Source organism: Homo sapiens, chromosome 19, assembly GCF_000001405.40.
Source record: "Homo sapiens chromosome 19, GRCh38.p14 Primary Assembly".
NCBI classification, from domain to species: Eukaryota; Metazoa; Chordata; class Mammalia; order Primates; family Hominidae; genus Homo; species Homo sapiens.
The window spans coordinates 58,367,163-58,386,979 of NC_000019.10; the positions used below are offsets into that span (position 1 = coordinate 58,367,163).

The 19,817-nt window shown below is 55.5% G+C and overlaps 1 protein-coding gene, 2 long non-coding RNA genes and 1 other non-coding gene across 5 annotated transcripts, besides 9 other annotated features; 2 read left to right on the top strand and 2 right to left on the bottom strand.

Annotated features, from left to right (window-relative positions):
* Positions 1-460: 460 nt before the first annotated feature.
* On the bottom strand, positions 461-13,868 carry ZNF837 (zinc finger protein 837). Of its 2 annotated transcripts, none has more exons than NR_049780.2 (3): positions 13,779-13,868; positions 2,555-2,766; positions 461-2,199 (listed from the first exon to the last, which is right to left on the bottom strand). NR_049780.2 is itself a non-coding variant. In NM_138466.2 (3 exons), the coding sequence occupies exon 3, from the start codon at positions 2,168-2,170 to the stop codon at positions 575-577; it is 1,596 nt and encodes a 531-aa protein (NP_612475.1). In that variant the 5' UTR covers positions 2,171-2,199; positions 2,657-2,766; positions 13,779-13,868; the 3' UTR covers positions 461-574. The 2 variants fall into 2 exon arrangements, 1 of the variants encoding a protein (NP_612475.1); NM_138466.2 differs by having other exon boundaries at positions 2,657-2,766.
* LOC124904788 (uncharacterized) lies at positions 2,645-7,491 on the top strand. The gene is made up of 2 exons (XR_007067364.1): positions 2,645-2,732; positions 5,380-7,491. It is a non-coding gene; the product is annotated as an uncharacterized LOC124904788 (long non-coding RNA).
* LOC105372484 (uncharacterized) lies at positions 10,421-11,863 on the top strand. Its single transcript, XR_936130.2, has 2 exons — positions 10,421-10,947; positions 11,623-11,863. It is a non-coding gene; the product is annotated as an uncharacterized LOC105372484 (long non-coding RNA).
* Positions 12,592-13,133: an enhancer, noted in NCBI's record as "H3K4me1 hESC enhancer chr19:58891121-58891662 (GRCh37/hg19 assembly coordinates)". NCBI's record gives its function as "activates a minimal SCP1, AML or CMV promoter by ChIP-STARR-seq in naive H9 embryonic stem cells {active_cell/tissue: H9 hESC(naive)}" and the evidence as "EXISTENCE:reporter gene assay evidence [ECO:0000049][PMID:30033119]".
* Positions 12,592-13,179: a biological region, named in NCBI's record as "H3K4me1 hESC enhancer GRCh37_chr19:58891121-58891662".
* Positions 12,950-13,179: an enhancer, noted in NCBI's record as "active region_15188". NCBI's record gives its function as "activates an Ori minimal core promoter by ATAC-STARR-seq in GM12878 lymphoblastoid cells {active_cell/tissue: GM12878}" and the evidence as "EXISTENCE:reporter gene assay evidence [ECO:0000049][PMID:35858748]".
* Positions 13,134-13,675: an enhancer, noted in NCBI's record as "H3K27ac-H3K4me1 hESC enhancer chr19:58891663-58892204 (GRCh37/hg19 assembly coordinates)". NCBI's record gives its function as "activates a minimal SCP1, AML or CMV promoter by ChIP-STARR-seq in naive H9 embryonic stem cells {active_cell/tissue: H9 hESC(naive)}" and the evidence as "EXISTENCE:reporter gene assay evidence [ECO:0000049][PMID:30033119]".
* Positions 13,134-14,129: a biological region, named in NCBI's record as "H3K27ac-H3K4me1 hESC enhancer GRCh37_chr19:58891663-58892204".
* Positions 13,210-13,269: an enhancer, noted in NCBI's record as "active region_15189". NCBI's record gives its function as "activates an Ori minimal core promoter by ATAC-STARR-seq in GM12878 lymphoblastoid cells {active_cell/tissue: GM12878}" and the evidence as "EXISTENCE:reporter gene assay evidence [ECO:0000049][PMID:35858748]".
* Positions 13,620-14,129: a silencer, noted in NCBI's record as "silent region_11081". NCBI's record gives its function as "represses an Ori minimal core promoter by ATAC-STARR-seq in GM12878 lymphoblastoid cells {active_cell/tissue: GM12878}" and the evidence as "EXISTENCE:reporter gene assay evidence [ECO:0000049][PMID:35858748]".
* Positions 18,508-18,727: an enhancer, noted in NCBI's record as "active region_15190". NCBI's record gives its function as "activates an Ori minimal core promoter by ATAC-STARR-seq in GM12878 lymphoblastoid cells {active_cell/tissue: GM12878}" and the evidence as "EXISTENCE:reporter gene assay evidence [ECO:0000049][PMID:35858748]".
* Positions 18,748-18,817: an enhancer, noted in NCBI's record as "active region_15191". NCBI's record gives its function as "activates an Ori minimal core promoter by ATAC-STARR-seq in GM12878 lymphoblastoid cells {active_cell/tissue: GM12878}" and the evidence as "EXISTENCE:reporter gene assay evidence [ECO:0000049][PMID:35858748]".
* On the bottom strand, positions 19,608-19,696 carry MIR4754 (microRNA 4754). Its single transcript, NR_039910.1, has one exon. It is a non-coding gene; the product is annotated as a microRNA 4754 (primary transcript).

Genomic DNA, 19,817 nt, shown 5'->3' on the forward strand with positions numbered 1-19,817 from the left:
TGCCAGGGCTTCACACTTCACCAAAGGGAACCCTTTCTGCCGCGACTACCGAGCTGCCAGGGCCGGGACAGGCAGAAGCCTGCCCCGAGGTCTCACCTCTGGAGGGTTACGAGCTGTGCCAGGCCGGCTACGGTAGAGGGTGTGCAAATACCCCGCGGTCCCAAGGCTCCTGAAGCTGCCTAAGGGATATGAGAGACCCTAGGTTCGAATCCTGCCTCCATCGTCTTATGTTCGTGCCTCAGGAGAGTCACTTTGCCCCGTTTCCTCGCATACCAGAGAGCCCAGTAACACGCTCCGCGGCTCTGCGGAGAAAAAGACCCTAGAGATCGTGGACACAGCGTCTGGGCCGTATCAGCGCCCACTCGAGATTATTACTGCTTATGCCTGCAACCGGATGCTGTGCGCCCGGTTAGAAAAGGTCAAATAAAACTCGAGTTAGGGGAAGCCTGTGGACGCCATGTGTACAAAGTGAAGTTTAATCAAAGTTACAAACGTTGGTGGGTTTTCCGGGACAAAGGCCCCTCCTCGACGCAGGGTTCGCTTGGGCGACGCGTCGACTCTCGGCTCCCTGCAGTCAAGGCGCGGCGCGGCCCCCGTGCCGCTTCCGGTGCTCGTTGAGGTTGGAGCGTTGGCTGAAGGCGCGGCCGCAATCTCCGCACGCGTAGGGCCGCTCGCCCGTGTGCGTGCGCAGGTGGCGCACCAGGCTGCAGTTGCGCACGAAGGCCTTGCCGCAGTCGCGGCAGATGTAGGGCTTCTCGCCCGAGTGCAGGCGCTCGTGCTGGCGCAGCTCGGAGCAGCCGCGGAAGGTCTTTCCGCACTCGGAGCAGCCATAGGGCCGCTCGCCGGTGTGCGCGCGCTGGTGTTGCACCAGGCCCGAGCGGCCCTTGAAGGCCTTTTCGCACAGTGGGCACGCGTAGGGCTTGGCGCTGCTGTGAGTGCGCTGGTGCCGGCTCAGGTTCGAGCGCTGGTTGAAGGCCTTGCCGCACTCGGGGCACGCGTAGGGCTTCTCGCCGGTGTGCACGCGCCGGTGCTCCACGAGGTGCGAGAACAGCCCGAAGGCCTTGGCGCAGTCGGCGCACTCGTACGGCTTCTCCCCGGCTCCCGACCCCCGTCGGGGACTCCGCTCGCTGTAGTCCCCGCAGGGCGGGCACCCCAGCCGGAAGGCGCGCCGCGCCAGGACGGGGCCACGCCGGTGGCGCTCGGCCGAGTGCGTCTTCTGGTGGCGGTACAGGCCGGAGCAGCGCACGAAGGCCTTGCCGCACTCGGCGCACTCGTAGGGCCGCTCGCCCGTGTGGATGCGCTGGTGCTGCAGCAGGCTGGAGGTGCGCGTGAAGGCCTTGCCGCACTCGTCGCAAGCGTACAGTCGCTGGGCCGGGGGGTCGGGGACAATAGGGCGAGGTCGCGAGGTTTGGCCGCACTCAGGACACACTGGGGGACTCTTGCCCGCCTGCTGCTGCTGGTTGGGGCGGAAGCGCTTCCCGCACCGGGCACACGGACGGGGCTCCTCCGTCGCCTGCAGCCTCTCCTGGGGGATCCGCAGGGCCCTCCACGCAAAGGCCTCGCCGCACGCGCAAGCCCGGGGCTGCTCCACCAAGGGGTTCCTCCCGCGGGAGGTCGGCTTTGGGGTCCTCGGGCAGGTCGGAGCGCCAGTCCCTGGTTGGCACGGCCAACAGTCCGTGTGGACCTCACACAGTTGAGTCCGGGGGTGGTTCTGGATCCGCTCCGGACAGGGGTCACACACGGGTGGCGTCTCCCCAGCGGGCGCCCCGCGATGCCACGCCAGGCAGGAGTTCCTGCTGCAGTCCCCGCCACGCGCTGGGCTCCTACAGGGGCCCTCCCGGGCTTGCAGCCCCTCGGGGATAACCAGCTCAGGGTTCTGAGAAGAGGTGGGGCCGCACGGCTCCCGCACGAGGGGTCTGGTCCCGGCGCTGTGCCGGGTCCCCGGGCCGGGGCTCACCCCGAGGCTGCAGCCCCGGGAGCCCCCGCCTGGGGGAGTCGTCCTACCGCCCGCCGCTCCACGCAGGTCCCCCTTTTGAGTGGGGCGGCTCCCAGCTCGGTCCTCTTCGAGGGGCCTCGGCTCCTCGGGCCTCTTCTCCCGGGCCCCGGAGGCACCCTGGGCATCGGCCTTGGGGAGTCCTCCCTGCCCAGCCTTCTGGGCTGGAGCCTCCATCCTGGGGCGCAGAGTTCTGGTTGTAGGATCTGGAAGAGCAGAGAAGAAATGGAGGTTGGCGGTTCCCAGGAGGAGAGAAGTGGAGAACTGGGCCAACGAGCGACCACCCCACAGCTGGCACCTACTGGGCGGCCCCCAGCTCTCTGCAGATGCGAAAGGGTAAATGGAGTGACATAGGCAGCCCGTCCTGCCCCTCTTCAAATTGTCACCACCCAGACCCCAGAGAACAGCTTCCCAGGCTCTGCCTGCCCGCCATCACCGTTCCTCCCCAACACTAGCTCCTAAAACACTGTGCCCCTGGCTAAGGCCCTCCCTGGTCCCCCTTCCCCAAGCAACAGGGACTCCCCCGTTGCTCAGCTGCCAGCTCCCCAAAATCTCACTTACTCCTGCCCTCCGTTTCTCAGTGGCAAGCCGACACTCCGGGTCCTCCTGGCTCCATTCACTGCCATTGTCCATGTCTTCTGAGAGGTGTGAGGTGAGACTCACCTGACAGCTGAGAGCCTGGCCGGGAGATCCACGCTGCAGAGGCCAATGCTGGACTTCCCCTCCCCTCTTCAACCAGGTAACGGTGGTGCTCTCAAGGCTGGCAGCCTCATCTACAAAATGGGTATGATAACGGTAAGTATAACCAGCTGAGTAGGGAGACAGGCAGCCCAGATCATTCAAGCAAGTGTGAACATTAGCAACGCCTGGCGCCTGCTATTACTATTTTAAAATTACACTGTGGCTGTATTAGTTATCTATTGTTAAAGCTGCTTTAACAAACTGCCACCCCATAGTGGCTTGAGACAGTGCAAACTTGTTATCTCAGAGTTCTGGAGGTCGTAAGTCCTAAGTGAAGGTTTCAGTAGTGTGGGTTCCTTCCAGAAGCTCTTGGGGAGGACGTTTGCTGACCATTTCCAGCTTCTAGGTGCCACCTACTTTTCTTTCTTCCATCTTCAAGCCAGCAGTAAGACATGTTCATCTCTCTCTTTCTGGGTTTGTTGTCAAATCTCCTTATACTCCTTATAGGATTCTGACCCTTCTGCCTCTTGTGATCACACTAGGCCAACCACACATAATCCAGGAATCTCCCCATCTCAAGATCCAAAACTTCATCACACTCAGTTCTTTTGCCTTGTGAAGTAACATAGTCAGAGGTTCTAGGAAACAGGACGTGCAGATCTTTCAGGGGGCCATTATTCTGCTTACAACAGTGGACTTTGCTGAGATACACACACGTGCATATATAAATATTCATCTCCTAAGCAAGCAATTGAATAGCAAGTGAAAACAAAGGACGGCCGGGCACGGTAGCTCACGCCTGTAATCCCAGCACTTTGGGAGGCCGAGGCAGATGGATCACCTGAGGTCAGGAGTTTGAGACCAGCCTGACCAACATAGAGAAACCCCGTCTCTACTAAAAATACAAAATTAGCCAGGCATGGTGGTGCGTGCCTGTAATCCCAGCTACTCAGGAGGCTAAAGCAAGAGAATCACTTGAACCCGGGAGATGGAGGTTGCAGTTAGCCGAGATCGCACCATTGCACTCCAGCCTGGGCAACAAAAGTGAAACTCTTTCAAAAAAAGAAAAGGAAAAAAAGAAAAGAGAGAGAGAGGGAGGGAGGGGTGAAGGCCGGGGGGGGGGAGCCGGGCGCGGTGGCTCACGCCTGTAATCCCAGCACTTTGGGAGGCCTAGGTGGGCAGATCACGAGGTCAGGAGATCGATACCATCCTGGCTAACACGGTGAAACCCCGTCTCTACTAAAAATACAAAAAATTAGCTGGGCGTGGTGGCGGGCGCCTGTAGTCCCAGCTACTCGGGAGGCTGCGGCAGGAGACTGGTGTGAACCCGGGAGGCGGAGCTTGCAGTGAGCCGAGATCACGCCACTGCACTCCAGCCTGGGCGACAGAACGAGACTCTGTCTCAAAAAAAAAAAAAAAAAAATTGCCGGGCATGGTGATGCATGCCTGTAGTCCCAGCTACTCAGGAGGCTAAGGCAGGAGAATCACTTGAACCTGTGAGGTGGAGGATGCAGTAAGCTGGGATTGGGCCACTGCCCTCCAGCCTGGGCGACAGAGCGAGACTCCGTCTCAAAAATAAATAAATAAATAAATATTTTCCTCATTGTGATGTGATGTGAGGTTTCTCAGCCTCACACGTGATAAGTGCACAATCCTCCTGTCCCCTCCCTAGATCTCATTGTTTCCAGAACAAAGATGGATCTGTCCAGCACAGCCTTTAGACTCTGAATCCCGGATGGCTAACATCATATGCAGAGCGTGAGATGGACACACTTGTGGCACCCTCGTAAATCACTGCTTCACTCGGCACAGGAGCTCAGATTCTTCTCCTTTTGTCCTGTGTTCCCTATTCTGTGCAAGGCAGATATCCTCTTATTTTATTTTATTTATTTTGGTGTTTTTTGAGACAGAGGCTCTCTCTGTCACCCAGGCTGCAGTGCAGTGGCGCCATCTCAGCTCACTGCAACCTCCGCCTGCTGGGTTCAAGCAATTCTCCTGCCTCAGCCTCCTGAGTAGCTGGGATTACAGGTGCCTGCCACCATGTCTGGCTAATTTTTTGTATTTTTAGTAGAGATGGGGTTTCACCATGCTGGCCAGGCTGGTCTTGAACTCCTGACCTTGTGATCTGCCCACCTCGGCCTCCCAAAGCGCTGGGATTACAGGCGTGAGCCACCGTACCTGGCCAGATATCCCTTTATTTATTTGTTTGTTTGTTTGTTTATTTTTATTTATTTAGAGACAGGGTTTCACTCTTGTTGCCCAGGCTGGAATGAAGTGGCACAATCTCAGCTCACCGCAACCTCCGCCTCCTGGGTTCAAGCAATTCTCCTGCCTAAGCCTCCTGAGTAGCTGGGATTATAGGCATTCACCACCAAGCCCGGCTAATTTTGTATTTTTTTCTTAGTAGAGCCGGGGTTTCACCATGTTCACGGGGCTGGTCTTGAACTCCTGACTTCAGGTGATCCACCCGTCTCGGCCTCCCCAAGTGCTGGGATTATAGGCGTGAGTCACCGCACCCAGCCGATATCCATTTATTAAATGTCTCAGAGGGCCGGGTGTGGTGGCTCATGCCTGTAATCCCAACACTTGGGGAGTCCGGGGGGGGCGGATCACGAGGTCAAGAGATCGAGACCATCCTTGCCAACATGGTGAGACGTCCTTGACCTGATGTCACTTTTTCTGTCTGTTTTGCAGATTTCTAACAGGCAGTTGCCCTGGGCCACCTGGTGGCCTGAAATAACTTGACCGGGAACTAAAAGGACTCACGAAGCATTTAACCAAGACTCTACATGTTGACTTTTCAGCCAAGGACACTTCAGAGCGACTGGCTGCAGTTCTCCAAAGGAAGCTGCTGCCAGTTGCCCCTGGGGGGTTATTTCCTTCTTGGACATCATGACCACAATGGCAGAAATGCATTGATGGCCAGCACTCTGGGGATGAATGTTTTTGAGTGGAAATGAAACATACCAAACTGGTTAAAGACAAAAATGCAGAGTTGGACAAGTTCTGCAGGTCACGAAAGGCCTTTGAAGCAGCCAGGCCCGGTTCCTGCTCTGCTGTATGGGAGGCTGCTGGCCTGAGCTGGAGAGCAGAAAGGCCCAGTGCCAAGGGTTCAGCAAGTACCAGTCCCAGGCCAGGCATTTGCTAATAAGCCAGGGTGACAGTAAGGACAAGGGGACTCTGGTGTGATGTGAGGTTTCTCAGCCTCACTTGTCACACGTGATAACTGCACAACCCTCCTGTCCCCTCCAGGCCTGTGTGAGACAGGAAAGGTGAGGCTGCCTCTCCCTCTGCACCTTAAAGCCACTCGGGGTCTGGGTTTTCCTGAGACTTCCCGGAGCCAGATGCAGACTCCCAAAGGCGCCGATCCTTCCTCGATCTCCCTCCCTCAAGAGTGGCACTAATCAGGTCTAATTTAGAGAAAATCCATCACCTCCCCCCACTGTGGGCTCTGCCACTTCATGCCTTGGTCTCTCCACCTATCAGCCAGCTGGAGCCTGGGACTCAAGGAGGCATGCTTGGAAGTAAGGAACTTCTCTGAGTACGAGGACATCTGGGTGGTGCTGAACACCAGCATGCTTTGCCCCGTGGCCTGGACTGTGCACAGGGCACCTAGAGTGACCTGTCACCTCCCACGCAGGTGGAAGGGTGTGAGAGAGAATGGGCACTCAGTTACAAACATCCCCTTCCCAAACACTTGTGGATCTGAGTCTGAGGCTACTCCTTCCAGGTGAGGGGTTGGCTGCTGTTGTAGCTTGTTACTCTCTTTCTGTCCCTTCTGCCCTCAGGTCTTGACCATGCAGCTTCCCAAGAACAGGATGGGGAATGATATGGGCACATGGGGAGGCAAGCAGCCACAGGCCTCACCTGCTCATGGGCACTGACCGTCCCAACAGCAGGTGGACATGAATCTAACCCACAGACACCAGAGTAGAGGGAGCTGGGCTCCCTGAGTCTGGATGGGGTTCTCACAGGCCCCCACAGGGAGACAAGGGAAGCTTTCTCCAGAATGTGGAGTACGGACTCACTGTGTGAATAAAGTAAATGAGCTGGAGGGGGCGGGACAAGATTTCAAAAAGCACCACTCATACACCCAGGACTGGCAAAGCTGCTGGCAGTAAGCTCTATCATGGGGCTCCCCCACTGCAGGTGAGCTGATTGGCCTCAGCTGGCACCATCCATGCTCAGTGTTTGCCCTGAGGACAAGAAGACATGGCAAAAAAGAGGAAAGTACAGAACACACTCCCACCTGGCTGGTGGGGATATAGATAGTGCAGCTGCTGTGGAAACCTTCAGCTCCACAGAAAGGTAAAGATGGAGCTACCACACCCCGAGTAATTCCACCCCTAGGTATCCACCCAAGAGAAATGAACTCAGGCATTCAAGCAAACACTGGCTCACAGATGTTCAGAGCAGCGCTGTTCACAGTAGCCAAAATGGAGAAACAAGCCAAGTATATAAAATGACAAATGCATAAATAAGATGTGGTATATCCATAGAATGGGATATTATTCAGCCATAAAAATGGATGAGTACTAACACATACTGCAACATGGACTTTAGAAAACATGGAAAGTAAAAGCAGTGAGTCACAAAAGACCACATATTGCATAATTCCATTTATACGATATATCCAGAATAGGCAAATCCACAGAGACAGAAAGTAGACTGGTGGTCGCCAGGGGCTGAGGGGAAAGAGTGGGGAGTAATTGCTTTACGGGTATCAAGTTTTGGGGTAATTAAAATGTTCTGGAAATTATAGTGGTGATGGTTGCACAACATAGTGAATATATTAAAACCTAAAAAATATACTAAAACCTGGCCAGGCGGTGGTTCACACTTGTAATCCCCGCACTTTGGGAGGCGAAGGTGGGAAGATTACTTGAGGCCAGTTCGAGACCAGCCTGGCCAAAATGTCGAAACCCCATCTCTGCTAAAAATACAAAAATTAGCCGGGTGTGGTGGCACATTCCTGTAGTCCCAGCTACTTGGGAGACTGAGGCAGAGAATCACTGGAACCTGGGAGGTGGAGGCTGCAGTGAGCCGAGATCGCACCACTGCACTCCAGCCTGGGCGACTGAGCAAGACTCCATCTCAAAAAAAAAAAATTATATATATATATACACACACACAAAAACATGGCCGGGCACAGTGGCTCACGCCTGTAATCCCAACACTTTAGGAGGCTGAGGCAGGTGGATCACTTGAGGTCAGGAGTTCGAGACCACCCTGGCCAACATGGTGAAACCCTGTCTATACTAAAAATATGAAAATTAGCCAGGTGTGGTGGCAGGCGCCTGTAGTCCCAGCTACTTGAGAGGCTGAGGCAGAATTGCTTGAACCTGGGAGGAGGAGGTTGCAATGAGCCGAGATCACAACACTGTACTCCAGCCTGGGCAACAGAGCGAGAATCTGTCTCAAAAAAAAAAAAAAGTATATATATATATATATATATATATATATATATATATATATAAAATTACATATATACTTAAGAGTATATATTTATATAGAATGTAAATATATATTAGAGATATATATATACTAAAACCCAACCTGAATTGTAAAATGGTTCATTTGTTACATGATTTATATATTTTTGTTTTGTTTTGTTTTGTTTTGTTTTTTTGAGACGGAGTCTCCCTCTGTCACCCAAGCTGGAGTGCAGTGGTGTGATCTCAGCTCACTGCAACCTCTGCCTCCCGCGTTCAAGCAAGTCTCCTGCCTCAGCCTCCTGAGTAGCTGGGATTACAGGCATGTGCCACCAAGAACGGCTAATTTTTGTATTTTTAGTGGAGATGGGATTTCACCATGTTGGTCAGGCTGGTCTCGAACTCCTGACCTCATGATCCGCCTGCCTCGGCCTCCCAAAGTGCTGGGATTACAGGTGTGAGCCACCTCGCCCAGCTGATTTATATCTTTTTTTTTTTTTTTAAAGCAGAATGCACCCATGCCACAGTGCTCCTTCCTGCAGCCTGTCAGGCGTCGGCCCACCCTGCAACATCCAGGATGTCATTTGAGCCCTGGTCACACGAAAGCACTGCATGGGATGAAGGTGGTTTATTTATTTATTTTTATTTTATTATTTATTTATTTTTTTGACACAGAGTCTCGTTCTGTTGCCCAGGCTGGAGTGCAGTGACACAATCTCGGCTCACTGCAACCTCTGCCTCCCAGGTTCAAGCAATTCTCCTGCCTCAGCCTGGCGAGTAGCTGGGATTACAGGTGCCTGCCCCCACGCCCAGCTAATTTTTGTATTTTCAGTAGAGATGAGGTTTCACCCTGTTGGCCTGGCTGGTCTCAAACTCCTGGCCTCAAGTGATCCCCCTGCCTCAGCTTCCCAAAGGTGCTGGGATCACAGGCACAAGCCACTGCGCCCGGCCGAAGGTGGTTTCTTTTAAGCAATACATTTGTATTGAGAAAAACAAGTTCTTGGCCGGGCGCGGTGGCTCACGCCTGTAATTCCAGCACTTTGGGAGGCCGAGGCGGGCGGATCACGAGGTCAAGAGATCGAGACCATCCTGGCTAACACGGTGAAACCCCATCTCTACTAAAAAAAATACAAAAAATTAGCCGGGTGTGGTGGCAGGCGCCTGTAGTCCCAGCTACTCCGGAGGCTGAGGCAGGAGAATGGCTTGAACCCGGGAGGCAGAGCTTGCCATAAGTCAAAATCAGGCCACTACACTCCAGCCTGGGTGACAGAGCAAGACTCTGTCTCAAAAAAAAAAAAAAAAAAAAAAAAAAAAAAAAAAAAAGAAAGAAAAGAAAAAAGGAAAAAAAAAGAGAAAAACAAGTTCTTTTAAATCTCTAGGTAAAAATAAAATAATTTCTCACACACAGCCAAGTCAACTGCATACCAGAGTACCAAGCATAGTTTCCACATCAGAGGCTTAAGCTCTGGGGTAAAAGCATTTTCTTTAACCAGGTGTCTGTTAATTCACTCATATCAAAGAGAAAACTTGGCTGGGTGTAGTGGCTTATGCCTATAATCCCAGCACTTTGTGAAGCCAAGGTGGGTGGATGGCTTGAGCCCAGGAGTTAGAGACCAGCCTGGGCAGTATGGTGAAACCCTGTCTCTATTAAAAAAAAAAAAAAAAATGGCCGGACGTGGTGACTCATGCCTGTAATCCCAACACTTTGGGAGGCCAAGGTGGGTGGATCACGAGGTCAGGAGATTGAGACCAGCCTGGCTAACATGGTGAAACCCCATCTCTACTAAAAATACAAAAAATTAGCCAGGCGAGGTGGCGCGCACCTGTAATCCCAGATACTCGGGAGGCTGAGACAGGAGAATCACTGGAATCCGGGAGGCGGAGGTTGCAGTGAGCCAAGATCGTGCCACTGCACTCCAGCCTGGGCGACAGAGCGAGACTCCGTCAAAAAAAAAAAAAAAAGGCTGGGCGCAGTGGCTCACACCAGTAATCCCAGCACTTTGGGAGGTGGGCAGATCACGAGGTCAGGAGATTGAGACCATCCTGGCTAACATGGTGAAATCCCGTCTCTACTAAAAAATAGAAAAAATTAGCCAGGTGTGGTGGTGGGCGCCTGCAGGAGAATGGTGTGAACCCGGGAGGCGGAGCTTGTAGTGAGCCGAGATCTTGCCACTGCACTCCAGCCTGGGTGACAGAACGAGACTCCATCTCAAAAAAAAAACTATCCAGGTGTGGTGGTGCAAGCCTGTAGCCCCAGCTGTCAGGAAGCTAAGGTGGGATGATCGCTTGAGCCTGGGAGATTGAGGCTGCAGTGAGCTACAATTGCACCACTGCACGCCAGCCTGGGCAACACAGTGAGACCACATCTCAAAAAAAGAAAGCAAAGAAAACTCTTCATTAGAAACTGAACATGCTCGCTGGGAATGATATTCAGGGCACAGGGCAATTCCTTACAGGGGCACACACCCAAGGGCACTGCTGCCACCACATGGGAAGTTGTGACGGGAGGGAGGAGACTGAGGGCAGGACACAAGACATGGAGACACACATTCTGGTCTGTCTGACCATGGAGCTCTGTCCACACCCAGGCTGCCTGCTGGCTCCCAACCACCACACACAGTATCTGGCGTTTCTCACAGGTGTCGGCTTCTCTCTCTCGAGTCCATCTGCTGGCCGTGGACCTGGCTATTCGGGGCAGGCCCATCCTGCCCACCTCCCCACACTCTCTCAAGCCTCTGTCTCTGAGCACTGCAGGTTTTGTAGTGTTCCCTCGTCTACCTCTGAGAGGCCAGGCTGACTGAAGAGCTCCTGAGAAAGCCACCAGGACCCACTGCTAAAGGGGTTGGTCCAGGGTCATTGCCAGGCTGGGATCTGAGGTCCCCACACATAGGGCAGGGAACTCCCCAGCCATAGACTCTGATGGGGGTACCAGTGTGGACTCCAGCCCTTTACACGGAGGAGGGAGCATGCCACTATGGATGCTGAGCAGCAGGAGGTCAGGGGCCCCGCTTTCACAATGTGCCATCCCAGAAGCCCCACAGCCAGGATCTGGACCTCTCTGACACAACTCCAGGTCACAGAGACCCAGATGTCAGGGATGGAGGGACTTGGGCACCTGCCTTGCTATTAGCTCCAAGGCTGCTGGCTTCATGTCACAGTCTGTACAACAGCTGGTGGCATGAGCAGGGCTAGGACCAGCACTCAGCATGACTTCCTAGAACTCTAGGGACTTAGGGGCTGAGGACTTCCCAGGGTGAAAGACCATACCTGGGACAGCCTGGCCAAACAGGGACAATTGATCACCATGGAATCAGTGGACAGGCCCAAGAATGGATGGGCACATGAGGTCACCCAGGATCAGGCAGGTTCCACTGAAGGAGGCTGCAAAAGATATATCCAATGTCCTAACCCCGGAACTCTCAGAATGTGACCTTATTAGGTCTTTGCAGACATAATTAAGGATCTTGTGATGAGATCACCCTGAATAACCTGGGTGTGCCCTAATTCCAATGACAGGTGTCCTTATGAAGGAGGCAAAGGGAGTTCTGACACGGAGAAGAGTGGTCCATGTGAAGATGGAGGCTGATATTGGAGTGATGCAGCCACACTCCAAGGAACACCCGGAGCCGCCAGAAGCCGGAAGAGGCAAGGAAAGACCCCCACCCAGAGCCGTCAGAGAGCACAGTACTGCTGACACCTTGATTTCAGACTTCTGGCTTCCAGGACTGTGAGAGTAAATTTCTGTTGTTTTAAACTGCCCAGTTTGTGGTAGTGTGTTATAGCAGCCACAGAAACTAATAGAGACTGGTCTAGCACCCTCGACAGAATGTGTGTGTTGTAAGGGGCTCTCCTGATCCCTAGTGATGGGGAGTCAGAGGACTGCTTAGTGTCTGAACAGAGGGTTGGGGAAGCTGGGTTGTCCTGAAGAACCAGCAGTCCCCACTTGGCAGAAAGGGACCCTGAACTTGTGGGAGGTGGGGGCTGAGGGGCACCTGCTAGCCATGTGCTAACAGCATCTTCGGATTGGTCCCCAGATGCCCTGCTCCCAGGGGTGGCTCCTCTGCTGCAACAAGAACCTGCCTCCCAGCACCAGACACAGCAGGTGGGAGCTGTGGACCATGGCCGAGTCTCTTCGTCTCCTTGATCTGCTCCCAGGATGCACTGTCCAACTATCCCACCTGTAGGTGGGTGGCATTCCAGCCATGGACCCATGATCTGAGGCTGAGCACAGCAAACACAATCGAGGCTCTGGGTCCCAGGTCCCAGGAGCCCGTCCTTGATGGTGCATTACAGCTCTCCCAGGCTGTTCTTACAGTGACCTCCCACCTGCCCCAGGTGAGCATGCTTGCACCTGGGTGCTCGCCCAGCCTTTCTAGTTGTCCTTAGGGCTTCTGGTGTTGGGAACAGGATGCAGAGTTACCAATTTAGGGGGACTGAGAGGTTAACGTGGCCAAGGCTGAGCCCTGCAGAACTGCAGAGCAACAGCACACACAGGAAAGCTAGTGAGGTTCAACATCCTCATGGAGGTTGCACACGGCACAATGAGGTCTTATTTGCCCAAGAGAATGTGCAGGGAAGTCGCCAGGCACGGTGGTGCATGCCTGTAATCCCAGCTACTCGGGAGGCTGAGGCTGGAGAATCGCTTGAACCCGGGAGGCGGAGGTTGCAGTGAGCCGAGATCGCGCCACTGCACTCCAGCCTGGGCAACAAGAGCGAAACTCCGTCTCAAAACAACAACAACAACAACAACAACAAAAACAGAATGTGCAGGGAAGTCAACGTTGGTGGCTCTGAGGTGTGGAGGACACAGGCTAGTGCCCAGCTCAGCGTGGCTCCACCTCTCTGAGCCACAGACCAACCTCACCCACACTGACAGTCCCAGGGGACACAGACTCTAGCCCCTATGTCCAATTCTACACTGTGCACGCAATGGGAAGAACAGTGCATCATGCACTGTACAGCAGAAGAAATGTCCTCTGAGTGCAGGCACAGCTCCCTTCTGTGTCTGTCCTCCCGACAGTGCCTCCACCCTCAAGGATTAGCAAGCTTCAACCCTCGCAGGACATCCACTGTGTCAGGGCCAAACGGTGCTGCATCCTGCTCTAATAGTGAGTGAAGGAGGGGACCGCAGACAAGAAGAAATGAACAAGAGACCGTTTAAGAGAGAAAAAGACGTGAAGAACATCAGACAGGGAGCAGCGCGAGGGCGCCAGGGAGGGAGGCAGCGGATTCTTCGGGCCTCTGTGAAGAGGGGGCATGAAACCGGTCTGCAGACAAGGAAAGAGCAAAGTGCAAAGGCCAGGATGCGGGGGCAGAGACGGTAGGGAGGCCGGCGTCGGCCTCGGCTAGCAGGTGGGCTTGACTCCGAGAGCCGCAGGCCGCCAGGATGGGTCCCGGGCCTGGAGCCTCCCCTCGCGGGCTTCAATGACACCCAGCACGGAAACGCGGGGGCCAGAACTACAGAAGCCCGTCCCGCCCGGAACTCAAGGTCGCGAGTGCTGTGTGGCCGGTCCGGACCCGGAGCGCGAGGACCGGAAGTGCGCGGCGTCACGCCTCTGCCCCGGACCCCGCGCGCGGAGGTGGAGAGGGGACTGGGGTGGTGGCCGCGCTATGCGCCGGGAGGTCCCCGCCTCGCAGGCCGAGGTTGCGGGTCCGCGCAGAATGCCACTTACTCTCTGGAGGCGGCCCGCACGGGTCCCTGGTCCCCGCCCCGCATGCAGCGCGGAGCCGTCCTCCCGCCACCTCCGGGCCGCCGCGGCACTGAGGGACCCGGGCCACAGCAAGCGCAGGCGGGAACCCGCGCGGGGACTGCTGGGAAACGTAGTCCCGTCATGTCCCGCTTTGACGCTGCGGAGAAAGCGGTGTAGGGAGAGGCTTGGGCTTCGGTTATCATAGAAACAGAGGCCGGCTACACCTAAAAGGCGGGGCGTGGACCTAAGTCGTCGCCAAAGAAACGGCGTTCTGGACGGGGACGTAGGGTCCCGCCCATTCCTTCTCGTGAAAGCGGGTGACTGGTCATGATTATGATTGATAGCCTCCTCTCCCAATCTGATTTCTAAGAGGTCCCAACCCGGAACCGACTTGCGGTTCGCAGGCTCCCCTCGGGTGGGAGAGTTGGGCTGGGAAGCACCTGGGGAGCTCTGAAGTGTCTTGGTGAGCGCGTTGCGAGTCAGACCGATAACATCAGAATCTGGGACTGGGCCCGAGCATATGCGCGTCAAAACTCCTCAGTTAAGTCTATTTTTTTGTATTTTTTTTGGTTTGCTTTTTTGAGACGGGGTCTCGCTCTGTCGCCCAGGCTAATGCAGTGACACCATCACGGTTCACTGCAGCCTCGACCTCCTGAGCTCAAGCGATCCTCCTACTTCAGCCTCCAGAGTAGCTGTTAACAGGGGCGCGCGCCACCACGCCCGGCTAATTTTCTTTCTTCTCTCCCTCCCCCTCCTTCTCCCCCTCCCTTCCTCCTCCCACTATGTCGCCCAGGCTGGTCTCGAACTCCTGTACTGAAGCGACCCTCCCACCTCACCCTCCCGAATAGCTGGGACTATAGGTGGGAGCCACCATGCCTGGATAGTTTTTTTATTTTTATTTATTTATTTATTTTAGAGATAGGGTCTCCATATGTTGCCCAGACTGGTCTGGAACTCCTGGGCTCAAGCGATCCTCGTGTCTCAGCCTTCCAGAGTGCTGGGAGTACAGGCTTGAGCCACTGCGCCAGGCCCCTAGTCCGGCTCCTAGTTGATTCTAACACGTGCGGCCCCATTGGGGAACCACAGCCTCCCCAGCCCCTTTGGGTGTTGCTGACTCTACGGGCCCTCCCAGGTAGGATGAACTGGTCACGCCTCCTACCCATTTGTAACCCCCAGCTCTTGCCCCCATCTATTGTGTGGCTCCTGCCCTCAATAGGGACATCTAATTTTGTTGGCCAGTCCAGCACATATATTGCATGTAACGACCCAGTTTGCCCCACCTTTCTGCCTCCACTGCATCTGCTTCAGGGATGCTGGGACTGTTCCACTCCCTTTCTCCATCCTTTGGGTGTCTGCACATCGAAAGCCTTGTCAGGAGGTCTATCTCCCTGCCCAAGTACAAAACTCAGGGCTTACCAAGCTAATTGAGGGCGAGCAGGAGGCTGAAGGGCACTTGGAGGGCTGCCCGCCTTGTGGGTCCCTTGGTGGCTGAAGAGAGTTGCACAGGAAGGCCTTGACAATTGTCACAGAGAAAGGAGTGCAGCTGCTGGCTCTGTGTGGGTGTGCAGATGTCTGACAGGTTCAGCCACTGGCCCCAATTGGGACACAAGTGGGATTTCTTTTTTTTTTTCTTTTTTGAGACAGTCTTGCTCTGTTGCCCAGGCTGGAGTGCAGTGGCCGCGATCTCAGCTCACTGCAACTTCCGCCTCCCAGGTTCAAGCAGTTCTCTGCCTCAGCCTCCCGAGTAGCTGGGATTATAGGTGCCCACGACCTCGCCCGGCTAATTTTTGTATTTTTAGTAGAGATGGGGTTTCACCATCTTGGCCAGGCTGGTCTTGAATTCCTGACCTCATGATCCACCCGCCTCGGCCTCACAAAGTGCTGGGATTCAGGCATGAGCCACTGCACCCGGCCTGACACAAGTAGGATTTCTCACACCTGTGGATGCACTGCTACTGGAGGAGTCTTGAGCCTATGTGGAAGAACTTCCCACTCCCAGGCACAGAAAGGGCCTCCCTCTGGAGTGAAGATTCTGGTGGTACCACAGGCCTGGCCACCACACAAAGGCCTTGTCCCTGCAGGGCTGGCATGGGGTGACTGGCAGCCCTGGAGTGGAGTTTGAAGCACCAATGAAAGGCCTAACCACTTGGCAGGCACAGGTGCGGGGGACTTGTCTGGAGGGGACCGGCTATGGGGGCTGTGACAGTCTGTAGGCTTTCTTCACTTCTACACAAGCCTGTTGTCTAAGTGGACCCTGCAGGGTTCATGCAGGGGCAGCACCAGAGAAGCATCTTGTGACAATGGTTACACAGGAGCGATTTCAGGAATGAGACTGAATCAGGCAAGGACCTGGAGAGGAAGCTCCAGTGGGGCTCCCACCCAAGGGGTCCAACTTTACCAATCCCACAGGTCCCCAGTCTGGGGCTCATTCTATGTCTGTAGGCCTGGGACCCTGCACCCAGGAGAGTTGTCCTGCTACCGGCCATCCCTCCGCAGAGGTCCCCCTCTGGCTCTATGCTGTCTTCAGCAAAGGGCCTCTGCTCCATTTCACACCTCTCCTGAGGGCCTGGGGTAGCTTACTGCGAAGCAGCCTCAGGGAATAGAGGCTTCAGCAGGGCATCTTGGCCCCCAACACAGAATCCTGGTTGTAGGATCTGGAAGAACAGAGGAGAAATGGAAGTTGGCAGTTCCCAGGAGGGGAGAAGGTGCTGGTGAGCCACGAAAGCAAACCCCAGTGGCTGAAGCATCCTGGATGACTCGGCCACATTTCCTTAAGAATCTTTGTGTGTGTGTGTGTGTGAGACGGAGTCCCATTCTGTCACCCAGGCTGGAGTGAAGTGGTGCGATCTTGGCTCACTGCAACCTCCACCGCCCAGGTTCAAGTGATTCTCTTGCTTCAGCCTCCCGAGTAGCTGAGACTACAAGCGCCCGCCACCACGCCTGGCTAATTTTTTTGTATTTTTAGTAGAGATGGGGTTTCACTGTGTTAGCCAAGATGGTCTCGATCTCCTGACCTCGTGATGTGCCCGCCTCGGCCTCCCAAAGTGCTGGGATTACAGGCATGAGCCACCATGCCCGGCCCTCTTCTGTCTCTTATAAGGACACTTGTCATTGGATTTAGGGTCCACCCTACTAATCCTAGATGCTCTCATCTTGGGATCCTTGACTAAATTACATCTGCAAAGATTTTTTTCCAATAGGTCACATTCGCTGGGTCTGGGTATTAGGGCATGAACTTACCTTTTTGGGGGCCACCATTCAATCCATTACAGGTGGGCATCCCATAGAAGCAGACAGTGGCTAGGCCAAAGTAGCCCATGAAGTATCAGCCATGGGCACAAGATCAAGTTTGGGATGCGGCAGGGCCAGGCTTGGCTCTGCCAGGCAACTGGGTGGACTGAATCCAGCACACTCCAAACGAGTTGATAATCAGGCTGGGGACTTCAACAGACAACCAAGGTGCCAGTAAAGGCATTAAGGAGCTATCACGGCCAGGTGCGGTGGCTCACACCTGTAATCCCAGCACTTTGGGAGGCCGAGGCAGGCGGATCACGAGGTTAGGAGATCGAGACCATCCTGGCTAACAGTGAAACCCCATCTCTACTAAAAATACAAAAAAAATAGCCGGGCGTGGTGGCGGGCGCCTGTAGTCCCAGCTACTCGGGAGGCTGAGGCAGGAGAATGGCATGAACCCAGGAGGCGGAGCTTGCAGTGAGCCAAGATTGCGCCACTGCACTCCAGCCTGGGCAACAGAGTGAGACTCCGTCACAAAAAAAAAAAAGGAGCCATCACAAGGATGTAAGATCAGCTAACAGTAAGACTGTGGCTGGTAGGGTGGACAGGCAAAGTGACTGCCTGGAGAGTGGGCAGGTGGCCCAGCAGGGCCCAGAGGGTGCCTTCCCAGAAGTGAGGAGTCCAGTCTGGGGCCGGCCACTCAGGATGGACACAATGTACCAGAAGTGAGGTAGATCTCTGCAGAGTCTCTGGGGTCCTCATCCAGTCTGAAGAACACAGCACCAGCAGCCCTAGATCTATGAGGTCAGACTCTGCATCTTATCGTAGCACCTTGGGGACCTGGGGAGGCTGGACCACCCTGGACCTGGTGGCGGGGGTGGGGGGTGCATGAGTCTCGGCTCTGCAGTATTCACCACGCCACACTTGAGGGCACCTGCCCTCTGCAGCACGATGAGTCATTCTCATGAGGTCTGTAAAGATGTCCATTATCAAATGACCATGGTAGCCAGGCCACAGGGTTCACATTGACGTTGCCTCATTGCATTCTCATTTCCACACTGAAGGGGAAAACAGGTTCAGAGGGGTGGGCTCACTGTCCTGATGAGTGCTGCCTGTTTTCTCCCACCCTCCCTACAACCAGCACCCCCATGCCCCTCACTCAAGACCAGGGAGAAGCCCACCTAGCCCCTCCTGCAACCACACAGACCCCAGTGGGAGCCCCAAGGCTGCTACTCTGCACAGGATGGAGGGCAGGGGTAAAGGCCATTAGGCGGTGGCAGTAGGCCGTGCCCCTCACCAGAGGCTGAGGTCTGACCCCTTGACCAGCCCAGCTTCAGGGCATGTGTCCTTTCATGAGCTGTGACTGACCACAGTCCAAGGGCCCACTGTGGGGAGTCCTCAGCATATTTGGACAGAAACGCCCCAGAATTGGGGTAAGAAGAGCCTTTACAGTCAGGCAGTGAAGAAACACAGCTGCTGGGCACCTGCTATGTGCACGCCTCAGGGATGGGAGTAGGGGGCAGGCCCAGCCCTGGGACCTGGGTCAGGTGGCTGGGCCCTTCGGATCCCGAGTTGGAGGGATAACCCCTTGGAGGCAGAGATGGGCATCAGAGACAGGGCGGCCCCAGGTGGTCCTGGAGTCGCCTCGTAAAGGTTATGTCTATGCCTGCTGCAGGCAGAGACACAGTCAAAGTAGTTGCTACCTCTGGAAAGTCCCAGTTCTGCTCATGAGCCTAGATCTAAGAGGCTGGGACAGGCAGAGGGGTATGAAGGGGTCATGGGCAGGCAGACTGTCCACACTGGCTGCCAGGGTGGCCAAGTGAGTAGAGTGAGCTGGGGCACTCACTACCGTGCCAACCCCACGCACGGATGAGGACCCCGGGTCGAAGGCCCACATCCTCAATCCCACGCAATAGTTCAGGCCCTGTGAGAGGGTTCGCTGTCTGCTCCCAGCCAGGGCTGAGCTGTTCAGAGGCCCTACCTGTTCAGAGGCAGCTGGGGGAAGGGACAGAAGTTGGGGGGCAGGGGATTGTGTGCTGGCGGGAATAATCTCCTTCATCTCATGGCTAAATCTTCCATCCCTCCTTTCAACCTTTGGCCAGAAACCTACGTTTCTGACCCTTGGAGAGGTCGGCCAGTTCAAGAGGCACCCCTGAGAGCCACGTCTGCAGACACGAGGGCCTCGTGACGTGAGCCCTGAGGGCAGGGGGCTGCAACCCCTCGCGCGGGCTCCCCGGCCGTGGAGGACACAAGGACAAACACGAAGGGTCCCCGACCTGCCGACCCCCTCCTCCCGGACACCGCGCGTAGCCTGTAGGCTACCTCCGCGCTCCACCCAGAGACGGGTCGCGCTGCTCCCGCCGCCGCAACCCCGGGCCCTCGTGCCGGCGGTCTCCCCTCTTCCACGGGCGAGATTACTGCATAGCAGAGGTGAAGGGCGCGGAGGCTGTGGGGGAACCCAGCGTGGTATGGCAGGAAAGGTCGAGCAGGGAAACAGGCCCAGCCAGAGGCTCGGGATCCGGGGCTCGCGAGCGTGGTGCTCCTGGGCCGGGCGGTGGGGGAGGGGCCGCGTGTGGCAGGCACATGCGCACGGCAACCTGGACCTGCGGAGGGCGGCGGTGACCACTGGGCCTCACTCCGCTAACCCAGGTCCGCATCAGGCGCGTGCCGGTGAGGCGGCTGTGGCCGCGGCGAGGAGTCAGAGGGAACTGAACTGGCTACTCCCGCGGCAGGTGGGATTTAAGGTCAGCAGCTGAACAAAGAAGCGAGCGCTGGCCAGACTTTTTT